Below are 18,996 nucleotides of genomic sequence, written 5' to 3'. Positions count from 1 at the left end.
TCTGTCCTATTGCTATCCATTCTCATCATTGCCCTATTTGACTGGGCTTCCGCTTCTGGTAGTCATCTTCCCACTAACTGGTATTCCTCTCACCATGTCTGCCTTTATTTGGAGCTCTGCAAATGTTTGTGGATCGAATATTAACCACGTTACTCGATTTAAAACTCTAAACACGTTCCATCTTGGGTTCCCTGCCATTCTTAACAAGTCTTTCAAAGAGAAATAGAGAACAGACTGCATTTTAATTCCCAGTACTGTCTTCACAGGAATAATCAAGAAGTTACACCAGGGACAGCATTTCGGTAAACAAACAAAAAAATGTGTATTTATGAGATGTTGAAATTTTTCATATATTAATATTTGTTAAATCAATTGCATTTTGAAATGGGGATATGATTTTGAAAAAGTATATTTACCACATTTTCAATGTGAATTCTGATTGCTGGAATTGGATGTCTAATATTCCATTTGGGGCAATAAAATACCACCAAAGAACATGGATTTTGAATTTAAATATTTTTGGCCAAAAAAGGGGTACTTATAATAACCGTGGCCTGAATTTATAAATTCATAAGTACACACAGTAGAATAGAGTGAGGCTCTCATTTGGACCTTAAACTGCTGCTGGTGTCACTGCTGGAACTGGTGCTAGTCTGTGTGGGCAATATTTTATTTCTTTATTTTTCCATCAAAATCAAGGATAAAACAAAATGGTCTAGAAAAGTTTTTTCCTTGTTGACCTAAATTTTCTATTGTCAGTTTAGATTTTTTTTTATTATACTTTTAAGTTCTAGGGTACATGTGCACAACGTGCAGGTTTGTTACATAGGTATACATGTGCCATGCTGGTTTCCTATACCTATTAACTTGTCATTTACATTAGGTATTTCTCCTAATGCTATCCCTCCCCCAGCCCCCCACACCCTGACAGGCCCCAGTGTGTGCTGTTCCCTGCCCTGTGTTTATGTGTTCTCATTGTTCAACTCCCACTTATGAGTGAAAACATGCAGTGTCTGGTTTTCTGTCCTTGTGATAGTTTGCTGAGAATTATAGTTTTCAGTTTCATCCATGTCCCTGCAAAGGACATGAACTCATCCTCTTTTATGGCTGCATAGTATTCCATGGTGTATATGTGCCACATTTTCTTAATCCAGTCTATCACTGATGGACATTTGGGTTGGTTCCAAGTCATTACTATTGTGAACAGTGCTGCAATAAACATACATGTGCATGTGTCTTTATAGTAGCATGATTTATAATCCTTTGGGTATATACCCAGTAATGGGATTGCTGGATCAAGTGGTATTTCTAGTGCTAGACCCTTGAGGAACTGCCACACGGTCTTCCACAATGGTTGAACTAATTTACACTCCCACCAACAGTGTAAAAGTGTTCCTATTTCTCCACATCTTCTCCACCATCTGTTGTTTCCTGACTTTTTAATGATTGCCATTCTAACTGGCATGAGATGGTATCTCATTGTGGTTTTCATTTACATTTCTCTGATGACCAGTGATGATGAGCATTTATTCATGTCTGTTGACTGCATAAATGTCTTCTTTTGAGAAGTGTCTCTTCATATTCTTTGCCCACTTTTTGACGGGGTTCTTTGTTTTTTTCTTGTAAATTTGTTTAAGTTCCTTGTAGATTCTGGATGTTAGCCCTTTGTCAGATGGGTAGATTGCAAAAATTTTCTCCCATTCCATAGGCTACCTCTTCACTCTGATGATAGTTTCTTTTGCTGTGCAGAAGCTCTTTAGTTTAATTAGATCCCATTTGTGAAGTCTTTGCCCATGCCTATGTCCTGAGTGTTATTGCCTAGGTTTTCTTCTAGGGTTTTTATGGTTTTAGGTCTTACATTTAAGTCTTTAATCCATCTTGAATTAACTTTTGTATAAGGTGTGAGGAAGGGATCCAGTTTTGGCTTTCTACGTATGGCTAGCCAGTTTTCCCAGCACCATTTATTACATAGGGAATCATTTTCCCATTGCTTGTTTTTGTCAGGTTTGTCAAAGATCAGATGGTTGTAGATGTGTGGTGTTATTTCTGAGGCTTCTGTTCTGTTCCATAGGTCTATATATCTGTTTTGGTACCAGTACCATGCTGTTTTGGTTACTGTAGCCTTGTAGTATAGTTTGAAGTCAGGTAGCAATGATGCCTCCAGCTTTGTTCTTTTTCCTGAGAATTGTCTTGGCTATGCGGGCCCTTATTTGATTCCCTATGAACTTTAAAGTAGTTTTTTCCAATTCTGTGAAGAAAATCATTGGTAGCTTGATGGGGATGACACTGAATCTATAAATTACCGTGGGCAGTATGGCCATTTTCATGTTATTGATTCTTCCTATCCATGAGCATGGAATGTTCTTCCATTTGTTTGTGTCATCTTTTATTTTGTTGAGCAGTGGTTTGTAGTTCTTCTTGAAGAGGTCGTTCACATCCCTTGTAAGTTGGATTCCCAGGTATTTTATTCTCTTTATAGTAATTGTGAATGGGAGTTCACTCATGATTGGCTCTCTGTCTGTTATTGGTGTATAGGAATGCTTGTGATTTTTGCACATTGATTTTGTATCCTGAAACTTTGCTGAAGTTGCTTATCAGCTGAAGGAGATTTGAGGCTCAGATGATGGGATTTTCTAAATATACAATCATGTCATCTGCAGACAGAGACAATTTGCCATCCTCTTTTCCTAACTGAATACCCTTTATTTCTTTCTCTTGTCCAATTGCCCTGGCCAGAATTTCCAATACTATGTTGAATAGGAGTGGTGAGAGAGGGCATCCTTGTCTTGTGCAGGTTTTCAAATGGAATGCTTCCAGTTTTTGCCTATTCAGTATGATATTGGCTGTGGATTTGTCATAAATAGCTCTTATTATTTTGAGATACGTTCTATCAATACCTAGTTTATTGAGAGTTTTTAGCATGAAGGGCTGTTGAATTTTGTCGAAGGCCTTTTCTGCATCTATTGAGATAATCATGTGGTTTTTGTCATTGGTTCTGTTTATGTGATGGATTACATTTATTGATTTGTGTATGTTGAACCAGCCTTGCATCTCTGGGATGAAGCTGACTTGATCATGGTGGATAAGCTTTTTGATGTGTTGCTGGATTCGGTTTGCCAGTATTTTTTTGAGGGAGGATTTTCGCATCAATGTTCATCAGGGTTATTGGCCTAAAATTATCTATTTTTGTTGTGTCTCTGCCAGGCTTTGGTATCAGGAAGATGCTAGCCTCATAAAATGAGTTATGGAGGATTCCTTCTTTTCTATTGATTGGAATAGTTTCAGAAGGAATCGTCCCAGCTCCTCTTTGTACCTCTGGTAGAATTTGTCTGTGAATCCATCTGGTCCTGGACTTTCATTGGTTGGTAGGCTATTAATTATTGCCTCAATTTCAGAGCCTGTTATTGGTCTATTCAGAGATTCAACTTTTTCCTGGTTTAATCTTGGGAGGATGTATGTGTCGAGGAATTTATCCATTTCTTCTAGATTTTCTAGTTTATTTGTGTAGAGGTGTTTTTAGTATTCTCTGATGGTAGTTTGTATTTCTGTGGGATCAGTGGTGATATCCCCTTTATCATTTTTTATTGCACCTATTTGATTCGTCTCTCATTTCTTCTTTATTAATCTTGCTAGTGGTCTATCTATTTTGTTGATTTTTTCAAAAGAGCAGCTCCTGCATTCATTGATTTTTTGAAGGGTTTTTCATGTATCTATCTCCTTCAGTTCTGCTCTGATCTTAGTTTTTTATTGCCTTCTGGTAGCTTTTGAATTTGTTTGCTCTTGCTTCTGTAGTTCTTTTAATCGTGAATAACCAGATAGCATCATGGTGATGGATCAAATTCACACATAAGAATGCTAACCTTAAATGTAAATGGGCTAGGTGTCGATTTTAGATCTTTCCTGCTTCCTCTTGTGGGCATTTAGTGCTATAAATTCCCCTCTACACACTGCTTTAAATGTGTTCCAGAGATTCTGGTACATTGTGTCTTTGATGTCATTGATGTCAAAGAAAATCTTTATTTCTGCCTTCATTTCATTATTTACCCAGTGTCATTCAGGAACAGGTTGTTCAGTTTCCATGTAGTTGTGTAGTTTTGAGTGAGTTTCTTAATCTGGTGTTCTAATTTGATTGCACTGTGGTCTGAGAGACAGTTTGTGATTTCTGTTCTTTTGCATTTGCTAAGGAATGTTTTACTTCCAATTATGTGGTCAATTTTAGAATAAGTGCGATGTGGTGCTGAGAAGAACATATATTGTGTTGTTTTGGGGTGAAGAGTTCTGTGTATGTCTATGAGGTCTGCTTGGTCCAGAGCTGAGTTCAAGTCCTGGATATCCTTATTAACCTTCTGTCTCGTTCATCTGTCTAATATTGACAGTGGGGTGTTAAAGTCTCCCAGTAGTATTGTGTGGGAGTCTAAGTCTCTTGGCAGGTCTCTAAGGACTTGCTTTATGAATCTGGGTGCTCCTGTATTGGATGCATGTATATATACTTTTTAAAATATATATTTTTTATTATACTTTAAGTTCTAGGGTACATGTGCACAATGTGCAGGTTTGTTACATATGTATACATGTGCCATGTTGGTGTGCTGCACCAATTAACTCATCATTTACATTAGGTATATCTTCTAATGCTATCCCTCCCTCTTCCCCCTACCCCACAACAGGCCCCAGTGTGTGATGTTCCCCTTCCCGTGTCCAAGTGTTCTCATCGTTCAATTCCCACCTATGAGTGAGAACATGCAGTGTTTGGTTTTTTGTCCTTGCGATAGTTTGCTCAGAATGGTGGTTTCCAGTTTCATCCATGTTCCTACAAAGGACATGAACTCATCATTTTTTATGTCTGCATAGTATTCCATGGTGTATATGTGCCACATTTTCTTAATCCAGTCTATCATTGTTGGACATTTGGGTTGGTTCCAAGTCTTTGCTATTGTGAGTAGTGCCGCAATAAACATACGTGTGCATGTGTCTTTATAGCAGCAGGATTTATATTCCTTTGGGTATATACCCAGTAATGGGATGGCTGGGTCAAATGGTATTTCTAGTTCTAGTTCTAGATCCCTGAGGAATCGCCACACTGTCTTCCACAAGGTTGAACTAGTTTACAGTCCCACCAGCAGTGTAAAAGTGTTCCTATTTCTCCATATCCTCTCTAGCCCTGTTGTTTCCTGACTTTTAATGATCGTCATTCTAACTGGTGTGAGATGGTATCCCACTGTGGTTTTGATTTGCATTTCTCTGATGGCCAGTGATGATGAGCATTTTTTCATGGGTCTGTTGGCTGCATAAATGTCTTCTTTTGAGAAGTGTCTGTTCATATCCGTTGCCCACTTTTTGGTGGGGTGTTTTTTTCTTGTAAATTTGTTTGAGTTATTTGTAGATTCTGGATATTAGCCCTTTGTCAGATGAGTAGACTGAAAAAATTTTCTTGCATTCTGTAGGTTGCCTGTTCATTCTGATGGTAGTTTCTTTTGCTATGCAGAAGCTCTTTAGTTTAATGAGATCCCATTTGTGAATTTTGGCTTTTGTTGCCATTGCTTTTGGTGTTTTAGTCATGAAGTCTTTGCCCATGCCTATGTCCTGAGTGTTATTGCCTAGGTTTTCTTCTAGGGTTTTTATGGTTTTAGGTCTTACATTTAAGTCTTTAATCCATCTTGAATTAATTTTTGTATAAGGTGTGAGGAAGGGATCCAGTTTTGGCTTTCTACATATGGCTAGCCAGTTTTCCCAGCACCATTTATTAAATAGGGAATCCTTTCCCCATTTCTTGTTTTTATCAGGTTTGTCAAAGATCAGATAGTTGTAGATGTGTGGTATTATCTCTGAGGCCTCTGTTCTGTTCCATAGGTCTATATATCTGTTTTGGTACCAGTACCATGCTGTTTTGGTTACTGTAGCCTTGTAGTATAGTTTGAAGTCAGGTAGCGTGATGCCTCCAGCTTTGTTCTCTTAGCTTAGGGTTGACTTGGCAATGCGGGCTCATTTTTGGTTCCACATGAACTTTAAAGTAGTTTTTTCCAATTCTGTGAAGAAAGTCATTGATAGCTTGATGGGGATGGCATTGAATCTATAAATTACCTTGGGCAGTATGGCCATTTTCACGATATTGATTCTTCCTATTCATGAGCATGGAATGTTCTTCCATTTGTTTGTGTTCTCTTTTATTTTGTTGAGCAGTGGTTTGTAGTTCTCCTTGAAGAGGTCCTTCACATCCCTTGTAAGTTGGATTCCTGGGTATTTTATTCTCTTTGAAGCAATTGTGAATGGGAGTTCACTCATGATTTGGCTCTCTGTTTGTCTGTTATTGGTGTATAAGAATGCTTGTGATTTTTGCACATTGATTTTGTATCCTGAGACTTTGCTGAATTTGCTTATGAGTTTAAGGAGATTTTGGGCTGAGACAATGGGGTTTTCTAGATATACAATCATGTCATCTGCAAACAGGGACAATTTGACTTCCTCTTTTCCTAATTGAATATCCTTTATTTCTTTCTCCTGCCTGATTGCCTTGGCGAGAACTTCCAACACTATGTAGAATAGGAGTGGTGAGAGAGGGCATCCCTGTCTTGTGCTGGTTTTCAAAGGGAATGCTTCCAGTTTTTGCCCATTCAGTATGATATTGGCTGTGGGTTTGTCATAGATAGCTCTTATTATTTTGAGATATGTCCCATCAATACCTAATTTATTGAGAGTTTTTAGCATGAAGGGCTGTTGAATTTTGTCGAAGGCCTTTTCTGCATCTAGTGAGATAATCATGTGGTTTTTATCTTCAGTTCTGTTTATATGCCGAATTACATTTATTGATTTGTGTATGTTGGACCAGCCTTGCATCCCAGGGATGAAGCCCACTTGATCTTGGTGCATAAGCTTTTTGATGTGCTGCTGGATTTGGTTTGCTAGTATTTTATTGAGGATTTTCACATCAATGTTCATCAGGAATATTGGCCTAAAATTCTCTTTTTTTGTTGTGTCTCTGCCAGGCCTTGGTATCAGGATGATGCTGGCCTCATAAAATGAGTTAGGGAGGATTCCCTCTTTTTCTATTGATTGGGATAGTTTAGGAAGAATGGTACCAGCTCCTCCTTGTACCTCTGGTAGAATTCGGCTGTGAATCCATCTGATCCTGGACTTTTTTTGGTTGGTAAGCTATTAATTATTGTCTCAATTTCAGAGCCTGTTATTGGTCTATTCAGAGATTCAAGTTCTTCCTGGTTTAGTCTTGGGAGGGTGTATGTGTTGAGGAATTTATCCATTTCTTCTAGATTTTCTAGTTTATTTGCATAGATGTGTTTATAGTATCCTGTGATGGTAGTTTGTATTTCTGTGGGATCAGTGGTGATATCCCCTTTATCATTTTTTATTGCATCTATTTGATTCTTCTCTCTTTTCTTCTTTATTAGTCTTGCTAGTGGTCTATCAATTTTGTTGATCTTTTCAAAATACCAGCTCCTGGATTCATTGATTTTTTGAAGGGTTTTTTGTGTCTCTATCTCCTTCAGTTCTGCTCTGATCTTAGTTATTTCTTGTCTTCTGCTAGCTTTTGAATGTGTTTGCTCTGGATTCTGTAGTTCTTTTAATTGTGATGTTAGGTTGTCGATTTTAGATCTTTCCTGCTTTCTCTTGTGGGCATTTAGTGCTATAAATTTCCCTCTACACACTGCTTTAAATGTGTCCCAGGGATTCTGATATGTTGTATCTTTGTTCTCGTCGGTTTCAAAGAACATCTTTATTTCTGCCTTCATTTCATTATGTACCCAGTAGTCATTCAGGAGCAGGTTGTTCAGTTTCCATGTAGCTCAGTGGTTTTGAGTGAGTTTCTTAATCCTGAGTGCTAGTTTGATTGCACTGTGGTCTGAGAGACAGTTTGTTATAATTTCTGTTCTTTTACATTTGCTGAGTAGTCCTTTACTTCCAACTATGTGGTCAATTTTGAAATAAGTGCAATGTGGTGCTGAGAAGAATGTATAGTGTGTTAATTTGGGTGGAGAGTTCTGTAGATGTCTATTAGGTCTGCTTGGTGCAGAGCTGAATTCAATTCCTGGATATCCTTTTTAACTTTCTGTCTCGTTGATCTGTCTAATATTGACAGTGGGGTATTAAAGTCTCCCATTATTGTTGTGTGGGAGTCTAAGTCTCTTTGTAGGTCTCTAAGGACTTGCTTTATGAATCTGGGTGCTCCTGTATTGGGTGCATATATATTTAGGATAGTTAGCTCTTCTCGTTGAATTGATCCCTCTACCATTGTTTAATGGCCTTCTTTGTCTGTTTTGATCTTTGTTGGTTTAAAGTCTATTTTATCAGAGACTAGGATTGCAACCCCTGCCTTTTTTTGTTTTCCATTTCTTTAGTAGATCTTCCTCTGTCCCTTTATTTTGAGCCTATGTGTGTCTCTGCACATGAGATGGGTTTCTTGAATACAGCATACTGATGGGTCTTGACTCTTTATCCAATTTGCCAGTCTGTGTCTTTTAATTGGAGCATTTAGCCCATTTACATTTAAGGTTAATATCGTTATGTGTGAATTTGATCCTGTCATTATGATGTTAGCTGGTTATTTTGCTCATTAGTTGATGCAGTTTCTTCCTAGCCTCGATGGTCTTTACAATTTGGCATGTTTTTGCAGTGGCTGGTACTGGTTGTTCCTTTCCATGTTTAGTGCTTCCTTCAGGAGCTCTTGTAGGGCAGGCCTGGTGGTGACCAAATTTCTCTGCATTTGCTTGTCTGTAAAGGATTTTATTTCTCCTTCACTTGTGAAGCTTAGTTTGGCTGGATATGAAATTCTGGGTTGAAAATTCTTTTCTTTAATATCGTTGAATATTGGCCCCCACCCTCTTCTGGCTTGTAGAGTTTCTGCCAAGAGATCAGCTGTTAGTCTGATGGGCTTCCCTTTGTCGGTAACTGGACCTTTCTCTCTGGCTGCCCTTAACATTTTTTCCTTCATTTCAACCTTGGTGAATCTGACAATTATGTGTCTTGGAGTTGCTGTTCTCGAGGAATATCTTTGTGGCATTCTCTGTATTTCCTGAATTTGAATGTTGGCCTACCTTGCTAGGTTGGGGAAGTTCTCCTGGATAATATCCTGCAGAGTGTTTTCCAACTTGGTTCCATTCTCCCCGTCACTTTCAGGTACACCAATCAGACGCAGATTTGGTCTTTTCACATAGTCCCATATTTCTTGGAGGCTTTGTTCATTTCTTTTTATTCTTTTTGCTCTAAACTTCTCTTGTTGTTTCATTTTATTCATTTGATCTTCAATCATTGTTACCCTTTCTTCCACTTGATCGAATTGGCTACTGAAGCTTGTGCATTCATCACGTAGTTCTCATGCCATGGTTTTCAGCTCCATCAGGTCCTTTAAGGACTTCTCTGCATTGGTTACTCTAGTTAGCCATTCATCTAATCTTTTTTCAAGGTTTTTAACTTCTTTGTCATGAGTTTGAACTTCCTCCTTTAGCTCAGAGAAGTTTGGTTGTCTGAAACCTTCTTCTCTCAACTCATCAAAGTCCTTTTCCATCCAGCTTTGTTCCATTGCTGGTGAGGAGCTGCATTCGTTTGGAGGAGGAGAGGTGCTCTGATTTTTAGAATTTTCAATTTTTCTGTTCTGTTTTTTCCCCATCTTTGTGGTTTTATCTACCTTTGGTCTTTGATGATGCTGACGTACAGATGGGGTTTTGGTGTGGATGTCCTTTCTGTTTGTTAGTTTTCCTTCTAAGAGTGAGGACCGTCAGCTGCAGGTCTGTTGGAGTTTGCTGGAGGTCCACTCCGACCCTGTTTGCCTGGGTATCAGCAGCGGAGGCTGCAGAACAGCGAATATTGCTGAACAGCAAATGTTACTGTTTGATTGTTCCTCTGGAGGTTTCGTCTCAGAGGGGTACCTGGCCATGTGAGGTGTCAGTCTGCCCGTACTGGGGTGTGCCTCCCAGTTAGGCTACTCAGGGGTCAGGGACCCACTTGAGGAGGCAGTCTTTCTGTTCTCAGATCTCAAGCTGCGTGCTGGGAGAACCACTACTCTCTTCAAAGCTGTCAGATAGGGACATTTAAGTCTGCAGAGGTTTCTGCTGCCTTTTGTTCGGCTATGCCCTGCCCCCAGAGGTGGAGTCTACAGAGGCAGGCAGGCATCCTTGAGCTGCGGTGGGCTCCACCCAGTTCGAGCTTCCTGACCACTTTGTTTACCTACTCAAGCCTCAGCAATGGCGGGCGCCCCTCCCCCAGCCTCGCTGCTCCCTTGCAGTTCGATCTCAAACTGCTGTGCTAGCAATGAGCAAGGCTCCATGGGTGTGGAACCCTCCGAGCCAGGCACGGAATATAATCTCCTGGTGTGCTGTTTGCTAAGACCATTGGAAAAGTGCAGTATTAGGGTGGGAGTGACCTGATTTTCCAGGTGCCGTCTGTCACAGCTTTGCTTTGCTATGAAAGGGAATTCCCTGACCCTTTGCACTTCCCGGCTGAGGTGATGCCTCACCCTGCTTCGGCTCACACTCGGTGCGCTGCACCCACTGTCCTGCACCCACTGTCTGACAAGCCCCAGTGAGATGAACCCGGTACCTCAGTTGGAAATGCAGAAATCACCAGTCTTCTGTGTCGCTCATGCTGGGTGCTGTAGATTGGGGCTGTTCCTATTTGGCCATCTTGGACAGATGCATGTATATTTAGGATAGTTAACTCTTGTTGAATTGTTCCCTTTACCATTATGTAATGGCCTTCTTTGTCTCTTTTGATATTTGTTAGTTTAAAATCTGTTTTATCAGAGACTAGGATTGCAACTCCTGCTTTTTTTTTTTTGCTTTTTATTTGCTTGGTAGATCTTCCTCCATCCCTTTATTTTGAGCCTATGTGTGTCTTTGCACATGAGATGGGTCTCCTGAATACAGCACACAGATGGGTCTTGACTCTATCCAATTTGCCAGTCTGTGTCTTTTAATCGGGGCATTTAGCCCATTTACATTTAAGGTTAATATTGTTATGTTTGAATTTGGCCCTGTCATTATGATGTTAGCTGGTTATTTTGCCCGTTAATTGATGCAGTTTCTTCATGTCATCAATGGTCTTTACAATTTGGCATGTTTTTGCAGTGGCTGGTACTGGTTGTTCCTTTCCATGTTTAGTGCTTCCTTCAGGAGCTCTTGTAAGGCAGGCCTGGCAGTGACAGAATCTCTCAGCATTTGTTGTCTGTAAAGGATTTTATTTCTCCTTCACTTATGAAGCTTAGTTTGGCTGGATATGAAATTCTGGGTTGAAAATTCTTTTCTTTAAGAATGTTGAATATTGGCCCCCACTCTCTTCTGGCTTGTAGGGTTTGTGCCGAGAGATCAGCTGTTAGTCTAATGGGCTTCCTTTTGTGGGTAACCCAGCCTTTCTCTCTGGCTGCCTTTAACATTTTGTCCTTCATTTCAACCTTGGTAAATCTGACAATTGTGTGTCTTGGAGTTGCTCTTCTCAAGGAGTATCTTTGTGGTGTTCTCTTTATTTCCTGAATTTGAATGTTGGCCTGCCTTGCTAGGTTGGGGAAGTTCTCCTGGATAATATCCTGAAGAGTGTTTTCTAAGTTGGATCCATTCTTCCTGTCACTTTCTGGTACACCAATCAAACGTAGATTTGGTCTTTTCACAGAGTCCCATATTTCTTGGAGGCTTTGTTCGTTTCTTTTCACTCTTCTCTCATCTTGTCATCTCACTTTATTTCATTACTTTGGTCTTCAATCACTGATATCCTTTCTTCCACTTGATCAAATCGGCTATTGAAGCTTGTGCATGCATGAGGAAGTTCTCATGCCTTGGTTTTCAGCTCCATCTGGTCATTTAAGGTCTTCTCTACACTGCTTATTCTAGTTATCCATTTGTATCACTTTTTTCAAGGTTTTTAGCTTCCTTGTGATGGGTTAGAACATGCTCCTTTAGCTCGGAGAAGTTTGTTATTACTGACCCTCTGAAGCCTACTTCTGTCAACTTGTCAAACTCATTCTTCATCCAGTTTTGTTTCTTTGCTGGCAAGGAGCTGTGATTCTTTGGATAAGAGGCACTCTGGTTTTTGGAATTTTCAGCTTCTCTGCTCTGCTTTCTCCCCATCTTTGTGGTTTTTGTTTGGTGACCTACAGATGGGGTTTTGGTGTAGATGTGCTCTTTGTTGATGTTGATGCTATTCCTTTCTGTTTGTTAGTTTTCCTTCTAACAGTCGCGCCTCTCAGCTGCAGGTCTGTTGGAGTTTGCTGGAAGTCCACTCCAGACCCTGTTTGCCTGGGTATCACCAGTGGAGGCTGCAGAACGGCAAATATTGCTGCCTGATTTTTCTTCTGGAAGCTTCATCCCAGAGGGGCATCCGCCTGTATGAGGTATCTGTCAGCCCCTACTGGGAGGTGTCTCCCAGTCAGGCTACATGGGTGTCAGAGACCCACTTGAGGAGACAGTCTATCTGTTCTCAGAGCTCGAATGCCATGCTGGGAGAACTACTGCTGTCTTCAGAGCTGTCAGACAGGGACGTTTAGGTCTGCTGAAGCTGTCTGCCGCCTTTTGTTCTGATTTGCCCTGCCCACAGAGGTGGAATCTACAGCAAGGCAGTAGGCCTTGCTGAGCTGTGGTGGGCTCTGCCCTGTTCAAGCTTCCCGGCCTCTTTGTTTACACTGTGAGCACAAAACCGCCTACTCAAGCCTCAGCAATGGTGGATGCCCCTCCCCCTGCCAAGCTGCAGCATCGCAGGTTGATCTCAGACTGCTGTGCTAGCCGTGAGCAAGGCTCTGTGGGCGTAGAACCCGCCGAGCCAGACACGGGAGGGAATTTCCTGGTCTGCTGGTTGCAAAGACTGTGGGAAAAGCACAGTATTTGGGCAGGAGCGTACCGTTCCTCCAGGTACAGACTGTCACGGCTTCCCTTGGCTAGGAAAGGGAAATCCCCTGACCCCTTGCACTTCCTGGGTGAGGTGACGCCCTGCCCCACTTTGGCTTGCCCTCCATGGGCTGCACCCACTGTCCAACCAGTCCCAATGAGATGGACCAGGTACCTCAGTCGGAAATGCAGAAATCACCTGTCTTCTGTGTTGATCTCACTGGGAGCCGCAGGCCGGAGCTGTTCCTATTCCGCCATCTTGGAAGCTTCCTTTCAGTTTAAATTTTCAATGTTATGCCAAATATACCACTAAAAGTGATGATTCTATAACTAGGAAATTTCTTTACTGTTGTGAAATAATGTTTGTCCTTCCTACTGTATGTTTTCTTTTTTTTTTTTAATTTTCACTGGAACTAAAAGTTCTGAATCATTGCTATACAGGAAGTATATATTTTCATCACAAATAATTTTATGAGAAATGTTAACATGAAGTTTTAAATAATGGATCTCCTTTTGTAAATGAACAAACAACTTATAGGATAAGGATTCTGTTGTTTTGCTTGTTTCTAATCCTTCTGCACTGTAATAAATTCAGGACCTTGTTCTTTTGGTTTCTCCTTTTACCCTTTCTTGCCATCCTAGAAGATGTTTGGAAGTTGCTGATTTGGAGAATAATTCTGTGCAATAGATATTTCTAGTCTATTTAGGGATGACAAACAGGATATTTTCTTCCCTGCCTTGGGACTTGACATGCTTCTCTTTGACTCCAAGATTACTCCCTTCTTCACACTTTGCCAGCTAACTCCCACTTCTTTGTGAGGGTTCATTGTGGTGGCACTTTACTTCCTCAGGAGAGTCTTCCCTGGCACTCTCTTGTGGGGTGAGGTGCCTCTTCAATGTTCCCTCTTGAATATTCCCTCACATCCCCTGAGTTTAGGCTGTTATAGACCACACCATACTTAAGTGCTTGCTCTAGGTTTCAAGATCCTTGAACTCAAGACTTTGGAACATGTATTGACATGCCCAACACCGAACATACTACCAGGCATTTGCAAGTCCTCGAATATTTACTGAGTTCATGTGGTGATGGATGAGTATAGTGGAAGAGTTCATTGATTGTCCACATTTACCTGTAGTTTGTTGGGAAAAATAAGATTCCTGCATGTCTAGATGATGATTTTCATCACTTTCACCAGTGAATGGTATGAAAAGAATTGCTTACAGTCATTAACACACAGTTGGTTTGCTGCCACAAATTCCTACCTAACTGCTTTACACAGAAAACTAGGTGAATGTGAAGCCATTTATCAGAAGTGTTTCTTTGATCATCACACTTAATCTAGACCAAGCTTGTTTGCAGTGCCCTGCCCTTATCTATCTATCAGATTATTTTATTTCTGTAACATCCAGTCTTTTCACTAGCTGGCTATGCTCCACCTTCCCCCAAGCTACCAAGGTACTTGCCATTGTGTTCTGTCTTGAGCTGCCTTCCTGAGCAATACTGTTTACTTCCAAACCTTTCTGTATGTGTGGCAGAGAGAGTCTGAACAATAAATGATCTGAGTGATTTAGGCAAATCACTCTTCTAGGCCTCATTTCCCTCATGTGAAAGGGAAGATGTGAGATAAGATGCCCCTAATATATTTATATGTATATAATTATTATATATTTTTTATTTTTAACATATGTGAGTGTGTATATATATACATACATATATACACACACATACATATATATGTATACATATACATATATACGTACATATATACACACATACATATATATATGTATACATATACATATATACATTAAATTTTTTCTTCAGTACTACTATTATCTGAGCCATTGAGCTTGGTGACAAATTGGTTATGGGGAAAAGAGTAGACTGAAAATTGAATTTTATGTTCTGATGTTGGGGAGCATAGTGATGTCCTTAACTGAGAAGAATAGATATAAATGAGAGGATGGATTCGAGGGGAGAGTGTTGATTTTGGTTTTGACTAGTTGATTTTGAGCTGCCCTTTGGGAGGAGGTTGGGAAGGCAAGCTAGAGTTACAGAGTTACAAATAAATGTGCAGACTTGAAAGTCCTTGATATAAAGGAAATACCTGAATCTTTATGTATAAGATCTGCAAGGAAAGAGTATAGAGTGAGAAGGGAGGAGGGATCGATAAAAACAGAAGGAGGTATAAATCCAAGAGTCAGGAAGAGGAGCAGGATTTCTATCTGGGAACTCAACTTTTGACGTTTTGATAAGAAAGAAGAAGGTATACTGTAGTGTCAAATGCCACAGAGAAGCAGATCAGAAGTAGAAAAGTTATCAAAATAAAGTAATTTGGAGACCATTTATATGATCTTTATAAGGGTATTTCTACAAACTGGTGGGAGTGGAATACTAACTTCAGGGAATTGAGAGTTGGAGCAGTTCACATTAGGCAATAAGATCAGGTGATGTTTCTAAGAAATTTGATGGTGAGGGGAAGAGAGATAAATGCATATATGAAGAGGCAGTAAAGTTAAGAAAATATTTATTTCAAGGAAGGAAACCTTGTAATTTTTTAGGCCAAAGAAGAAGCTGTTAGTGAAAAATGAGTGGTAAAGCAAGAGAGAGAGGGTGTAATCTCTAGAGACAGACCCTAGAGAACAGGGAACCAAGAAAGCAGGTAAAGGATTTAATCTAAGAACAGAGGAGGGACATTTCTTACTTGAGAAAAGAGGGAGAAAGAAAGAGAATGAATAAAACTGAAGAAGAATTACTGGGACAGAAAGGAAAGAATTATAGGAAATTCATGTTAAATGACATGACATTTTCAGAGAAGTAGTAAGTAAAGTCATCCACTCATAATAAAGAGGAAGAAAGTATGGGCTCTAGAACAGTGGTCCCAGCATTTTGGGCACCAGGGACCAGTTTCGTGGAAGACAATTTTTTCCACAGATCATGGAGGGGGAGTGGGGAATGGTCAAGATAAAACTGTTCTACCTCAGATCATCAGGCATTAGATTCTCATAAGGAGCATCCAACCTAGATCCCTTGCAGGCTCAGTTCACAATAGGGTTTGCACTCCTATGAGAATTTAATGCCACTGCTGATCTTACAGAAGGTGGAGCTCAGGCGGTAATGCTCACTCACCTGCAGCTCACCTCCTGTTGTTCCTTGTAAGGCCCAGCTCCTTACAGGCTACGGACAGGTACCAGTCTGTGGCACAGGGGTTGGGGACCCCTACTCTAGAAGATAATGAAATAAATTTAGAAGTGAGACATGAGGAAATCCAATAGATTGCCTATCATAATGAGCCAAAAAAATCAATAAACAGTACTAAATGTCTGGCTGAAGTTGGGATAGTGACTTTGTAGTGGAGTTTTTCAATCTGATTTTAGACTTGCCCTATATAAGAGCTAGACCAAGGCAAAGGGAGTTCGCACAGAATGTGATAAGGAAGCAAAGGGTGTAGCTATTGATGACGACAGGATTATGGTCTGGAAGCAGAAGTTTGTGGCTAGGGACATGCCAATCCCTTCTCCAGATGTGCTGACTTAAGGAGAATAAAGAGGGAACAGTGCCTCCTCTGATGAGCTTCAGTAGTGCCGGTGTTGTCTGGGAAAAGCCAGGTTTCCCTCAGACAACATTGGGACATACGAATTGGGCATAGAAGGACTGTTCTAAAAAAAGTTTGAAGATATAGCTGGGGTTGTTCAGAAAAGATTGACTACCTCAAGAGGGAGCAGTGGAAGAGCCAGTAATAGTATCATAAGTGTATGTGTACGTGTGTGTAGAAAGGACAGGGAGAGGGAAAGAGGCAGAAAGACAAGGTGAAATAGGAAAGAGAGAATTGCAATAGACTGTAAAAGAAGATAAAGGTAGCAGAGAAGATATAAAGTTATTGATATTGATATATATCCAGTGATAGATAGGGGACATGGAGAGGAAGTGGACTGTTTTGTAACTGGTGTAGAATAAACCAACCCCAAGGTTTGTCACAGTGGACTCAGATGCAGCAAAGGCTTCATGCATTCAGGATGCCTATTGTTGATTAATAGCTACCTGATCCTAATAGTAGAAAGGACCACTGTCCAAGTTACTGGAATAAACTTTTTGTGATGTTTGAGTAAAGCATTCATGTCAGAATTTTCAGACATACCTATAGGAACAAAATAGGTCAAAAATAGTCAACTATATAAGACTGGTATCCTTATGTTAATTCTTAGCCAGCTATACTGTTTGCCACTACATGATATAATCGATGTAGGAATGGGAACAATACAATTAAACTATACACCCCTTCTCTCTGCTTTGAGGAAGGTTAGTTATAGAATACCAGGACCGGAAATAATCTTATAATCATGTATTTGAACTTCTTCATTTTATAGATGAGGAATGTGAGGTACGGGCATGTGAAGGGATTCACACAAAGTAACAGCCTAGTCTCTTCTGTTATATTTTTTTGGCTTAACTCCTTTTCTCTAAATTAAAAACTCTTCCTTATCTTGAATATGGTTCTTTCTGTGTTCATAGCCAATGTTTAGATGACATCAGTAACACCCCAGATCAGATCATGGAAACAGCTGACAGAGTGAAAAAGCCCAGTAATCTAAATGAAATTTAGAACTTTGAACATTTTTATTTGGCTTTGAGATTTTAAATTCCTTATGAAAATATTGTTTTGATATGTATATGTGTGCACACTTGTTCTTTATTTTTAAAAGGGATTAAAATATCCAGGCATGCCAAACTTTGCGCCAGATGAACCAGGAAAAATCTTCTTGATGGATCTGAATGAACAAAACCCAAGGGCACAAGCGCTAGAAATCAGTGGTGGATTTGACAAAGAATTATTTAATCCACATGGGATCAGTATTTTCATCGACAAAGGTAAAACCTGTATGTTTAGGGATAAGGGGGAAATGAGGGAAATAGAAACCATTTATCTCCAGCCCCTCAATATTTATGTAACAGGAAGAGAGAAGATGCTATTTTACCATACAGATGTGTTTTTTTTAAATGATAAATAGGTATAAAACCTTGTAAACATTGCATTAAAGAAGGAACACTAGTATTTTTGGCCCTATGTGGCCTCCTCCTCTTCCTTCTATCCACTTGTCTTCTTGTTTGACTGTCACAACCTGTTTGAATACTGTTCTCAGAAATCTAACATGTAAACTAAAGGCCCTTTAGTTTAGTTGTCACTAAAGACAACTGTGAGACGTTAAAAAACATAACATAAGGGGGAAAAAAACAAATTAGACTCATCAAAGTTAAAAGCTTTTGTGCTTCAAAAGACACCATCAAGAAAGTGAAAAACAACCCAAAGAATGAGAGATAGTATTTGTAAATCATATATTAGATGAGAGACTTGTATTCAGACAATATAAATAATTCTTACAACTTAACAAAACACAAATAATGTAATTTAAAAATGGACAAAGTATCTACCTAGATAGACATTTCTCCTAAGATACACAAAGGCCTGTAAGCACATGAAAGATGTTTATCATCCTTAGACATTAGGAAACTACAAATCAAAACCAGAATGAGATACCATTTCACACCCACTAGGATGGTGATAATTAAAAAGACAGACAATAACAAATGTTGGCAAGGATGTAGAAAAATTGGAACCCTCATACTTTGCCAGTGGGATTGTGAAATAATGTAACCACTTTGGGAAGGAGTTTTGCATTTCCTCAACATGTTAAACATAGAGTTACCACACAATCCAGCAACTCTGCACCTTGGTGTATGCTCAAGAGAATTGAAAACCTATCCATGCAAAAACCCATATACAAATGTTCATAGCAGCATTACTCCTAATACAAAAGGTGGAAATAACCCAAATGTCTATCAACTGATGCATTCATAAACAAAATGTGATAGGTATTTATACAATAGAACACTATTTGGCAATAAAAAGAAATGAACTACTCATGCATGCTATAATATGGATGAAGCTTGTAAATATTATGCCAACTGAAGGAATTTAGTCACTAAAAGCCACACATTATGTGATTCCATTTATATGAAGTGTCCAGAATAGGTGAATTCACAGACAGAAAAATTGTTGGCAGGAGCCAGGGGAGTGGGGAAGGAGGAATGACAGCTAATGAGTAGGTGATTTCTTTTTGGGTGATGAAAATGTTCTGGAACTAAATAGTGGTTATGGTTGCACAATTCTGTGAA

The 18,996-nt window shown here is 39.7% G+C and overlaps 1 protein-coding gene across 1 annotated transcript in view, besides 5 other annotated features; it reads left to right on the top strand.

Annotated features, from left to right (window-relative positions):
* PON3 (paraoxonase 3) overlaps nt 1–18,996 on the top strand; it is a 36,504-nt gene that overhangs the window by 6,512 nt on the left and 10,996 nt on the right. Inside the window, exon 4 of the mRNA NM_000940.3 lies at nt 17,526–17,691. Within this exon, the coding sequence (NP_000931.1) occupies nt 17,526–17,691 (166 nt within the window). The remainder of the gene's footprint in view (nt 1–17,525; nt 17,692–18,996) is intronic.
* Nucleotides 12,194–12,750: an enhancer, noted in NCBI's record as "H3K27ac-H3K4me1 hESC enhancer chr7:95006426-95006982 (GRCh37/hg19 assembly coordinates)". NCBI's record gives its function as "activates a minimal SCP1, AML or CMV promoter by ChIP-STARR-seq in naive H9 embryonic stem cells {active_cell/tissue: H9 hESC(naive)}" and the evidence as "EXISTENCE:reporter gene assay evidence [ECO:0000049][PMID:30033119]".
* Nucleotides 12,194–13,959: a biological region, named in NCBI's record as "BRD4-independent group 4 enhancer GRCh37_chr7:95005217-95006416".
* Nucleotides 12,615–12,824: a silencer, noted in NCBI's record as "fragment chr7:95006352-95006561 (GRCh37/hg19 assembly coordinates)". NCBI's record gives its function as "represses an EF-1alpha promoter that drives an FKBP-Casp9 reporter gene in an ReSE screen in phorbol 12-myristate 13-acetate-treated (for megakaryocytic differentiation) K562 erythroleukemia cells {active_cell/tissue: K562(+PMA)}" and the evidence as "EXISTENCE:reporter gene assay evidence [ECO:0000049][PMID:32094911]".
* Nucleotides 12,751–13,308: an enhancer, noted in NCBI's record as "H3K27ac-H3K4me1 hESC enhancer chr7:95005868-95006425 (GRCh37/hg19 assembly coordinates)". NCBI's record gives its function as "activates a minimal SCP1, AML or CMV promoter by ChIP-STARR-seq in naive H9 embryonic stem cells {active_cell/tissue: H9 hESC(naive)}" and the evidence as "EXISTENCE:reporter gene assay evidence [ECO:0000049][PMID:30033119]".
* Nucleotides 12,760–13,959: an enhancer, noted in NCBI's record as "BRD4-independent group 4 enhancer chr7:95005217-95006416 (GRCh37/hg19 assembly coordinates)". NCBI's record gives its function as "activates an origin of replication core promoter dependent on BRD2, P300/CBP, MED14 and CDK7 cofactors, and independent of BRD4, by STARR-seq in HCT116 cells {active_cell/tissue: HCT116}" and the evidence as "EXISTENCE:reporter gene assay evidence [ECO:0000049][PMID:35650434]".

The sequence above is a fragment of the Homo sapiens genome, chromosome 7 (assembly GCF_000001405.40).
Source record: "Homo sapiens chromosome 7, GRCh38.p14 Primary Assembly".
In the NCBI taxonomy this organism is placed as follows: domain Eukaryota; kingdom Metazoa; phylum Chordata; class Mammalia; order Primates; family Hominidae; genus Homo; species Homo sapiens.
Note: the sequence above shows the minus strand (reverse complement) of the source record. Positions and strands in the feature narration are given on the sequence as shown.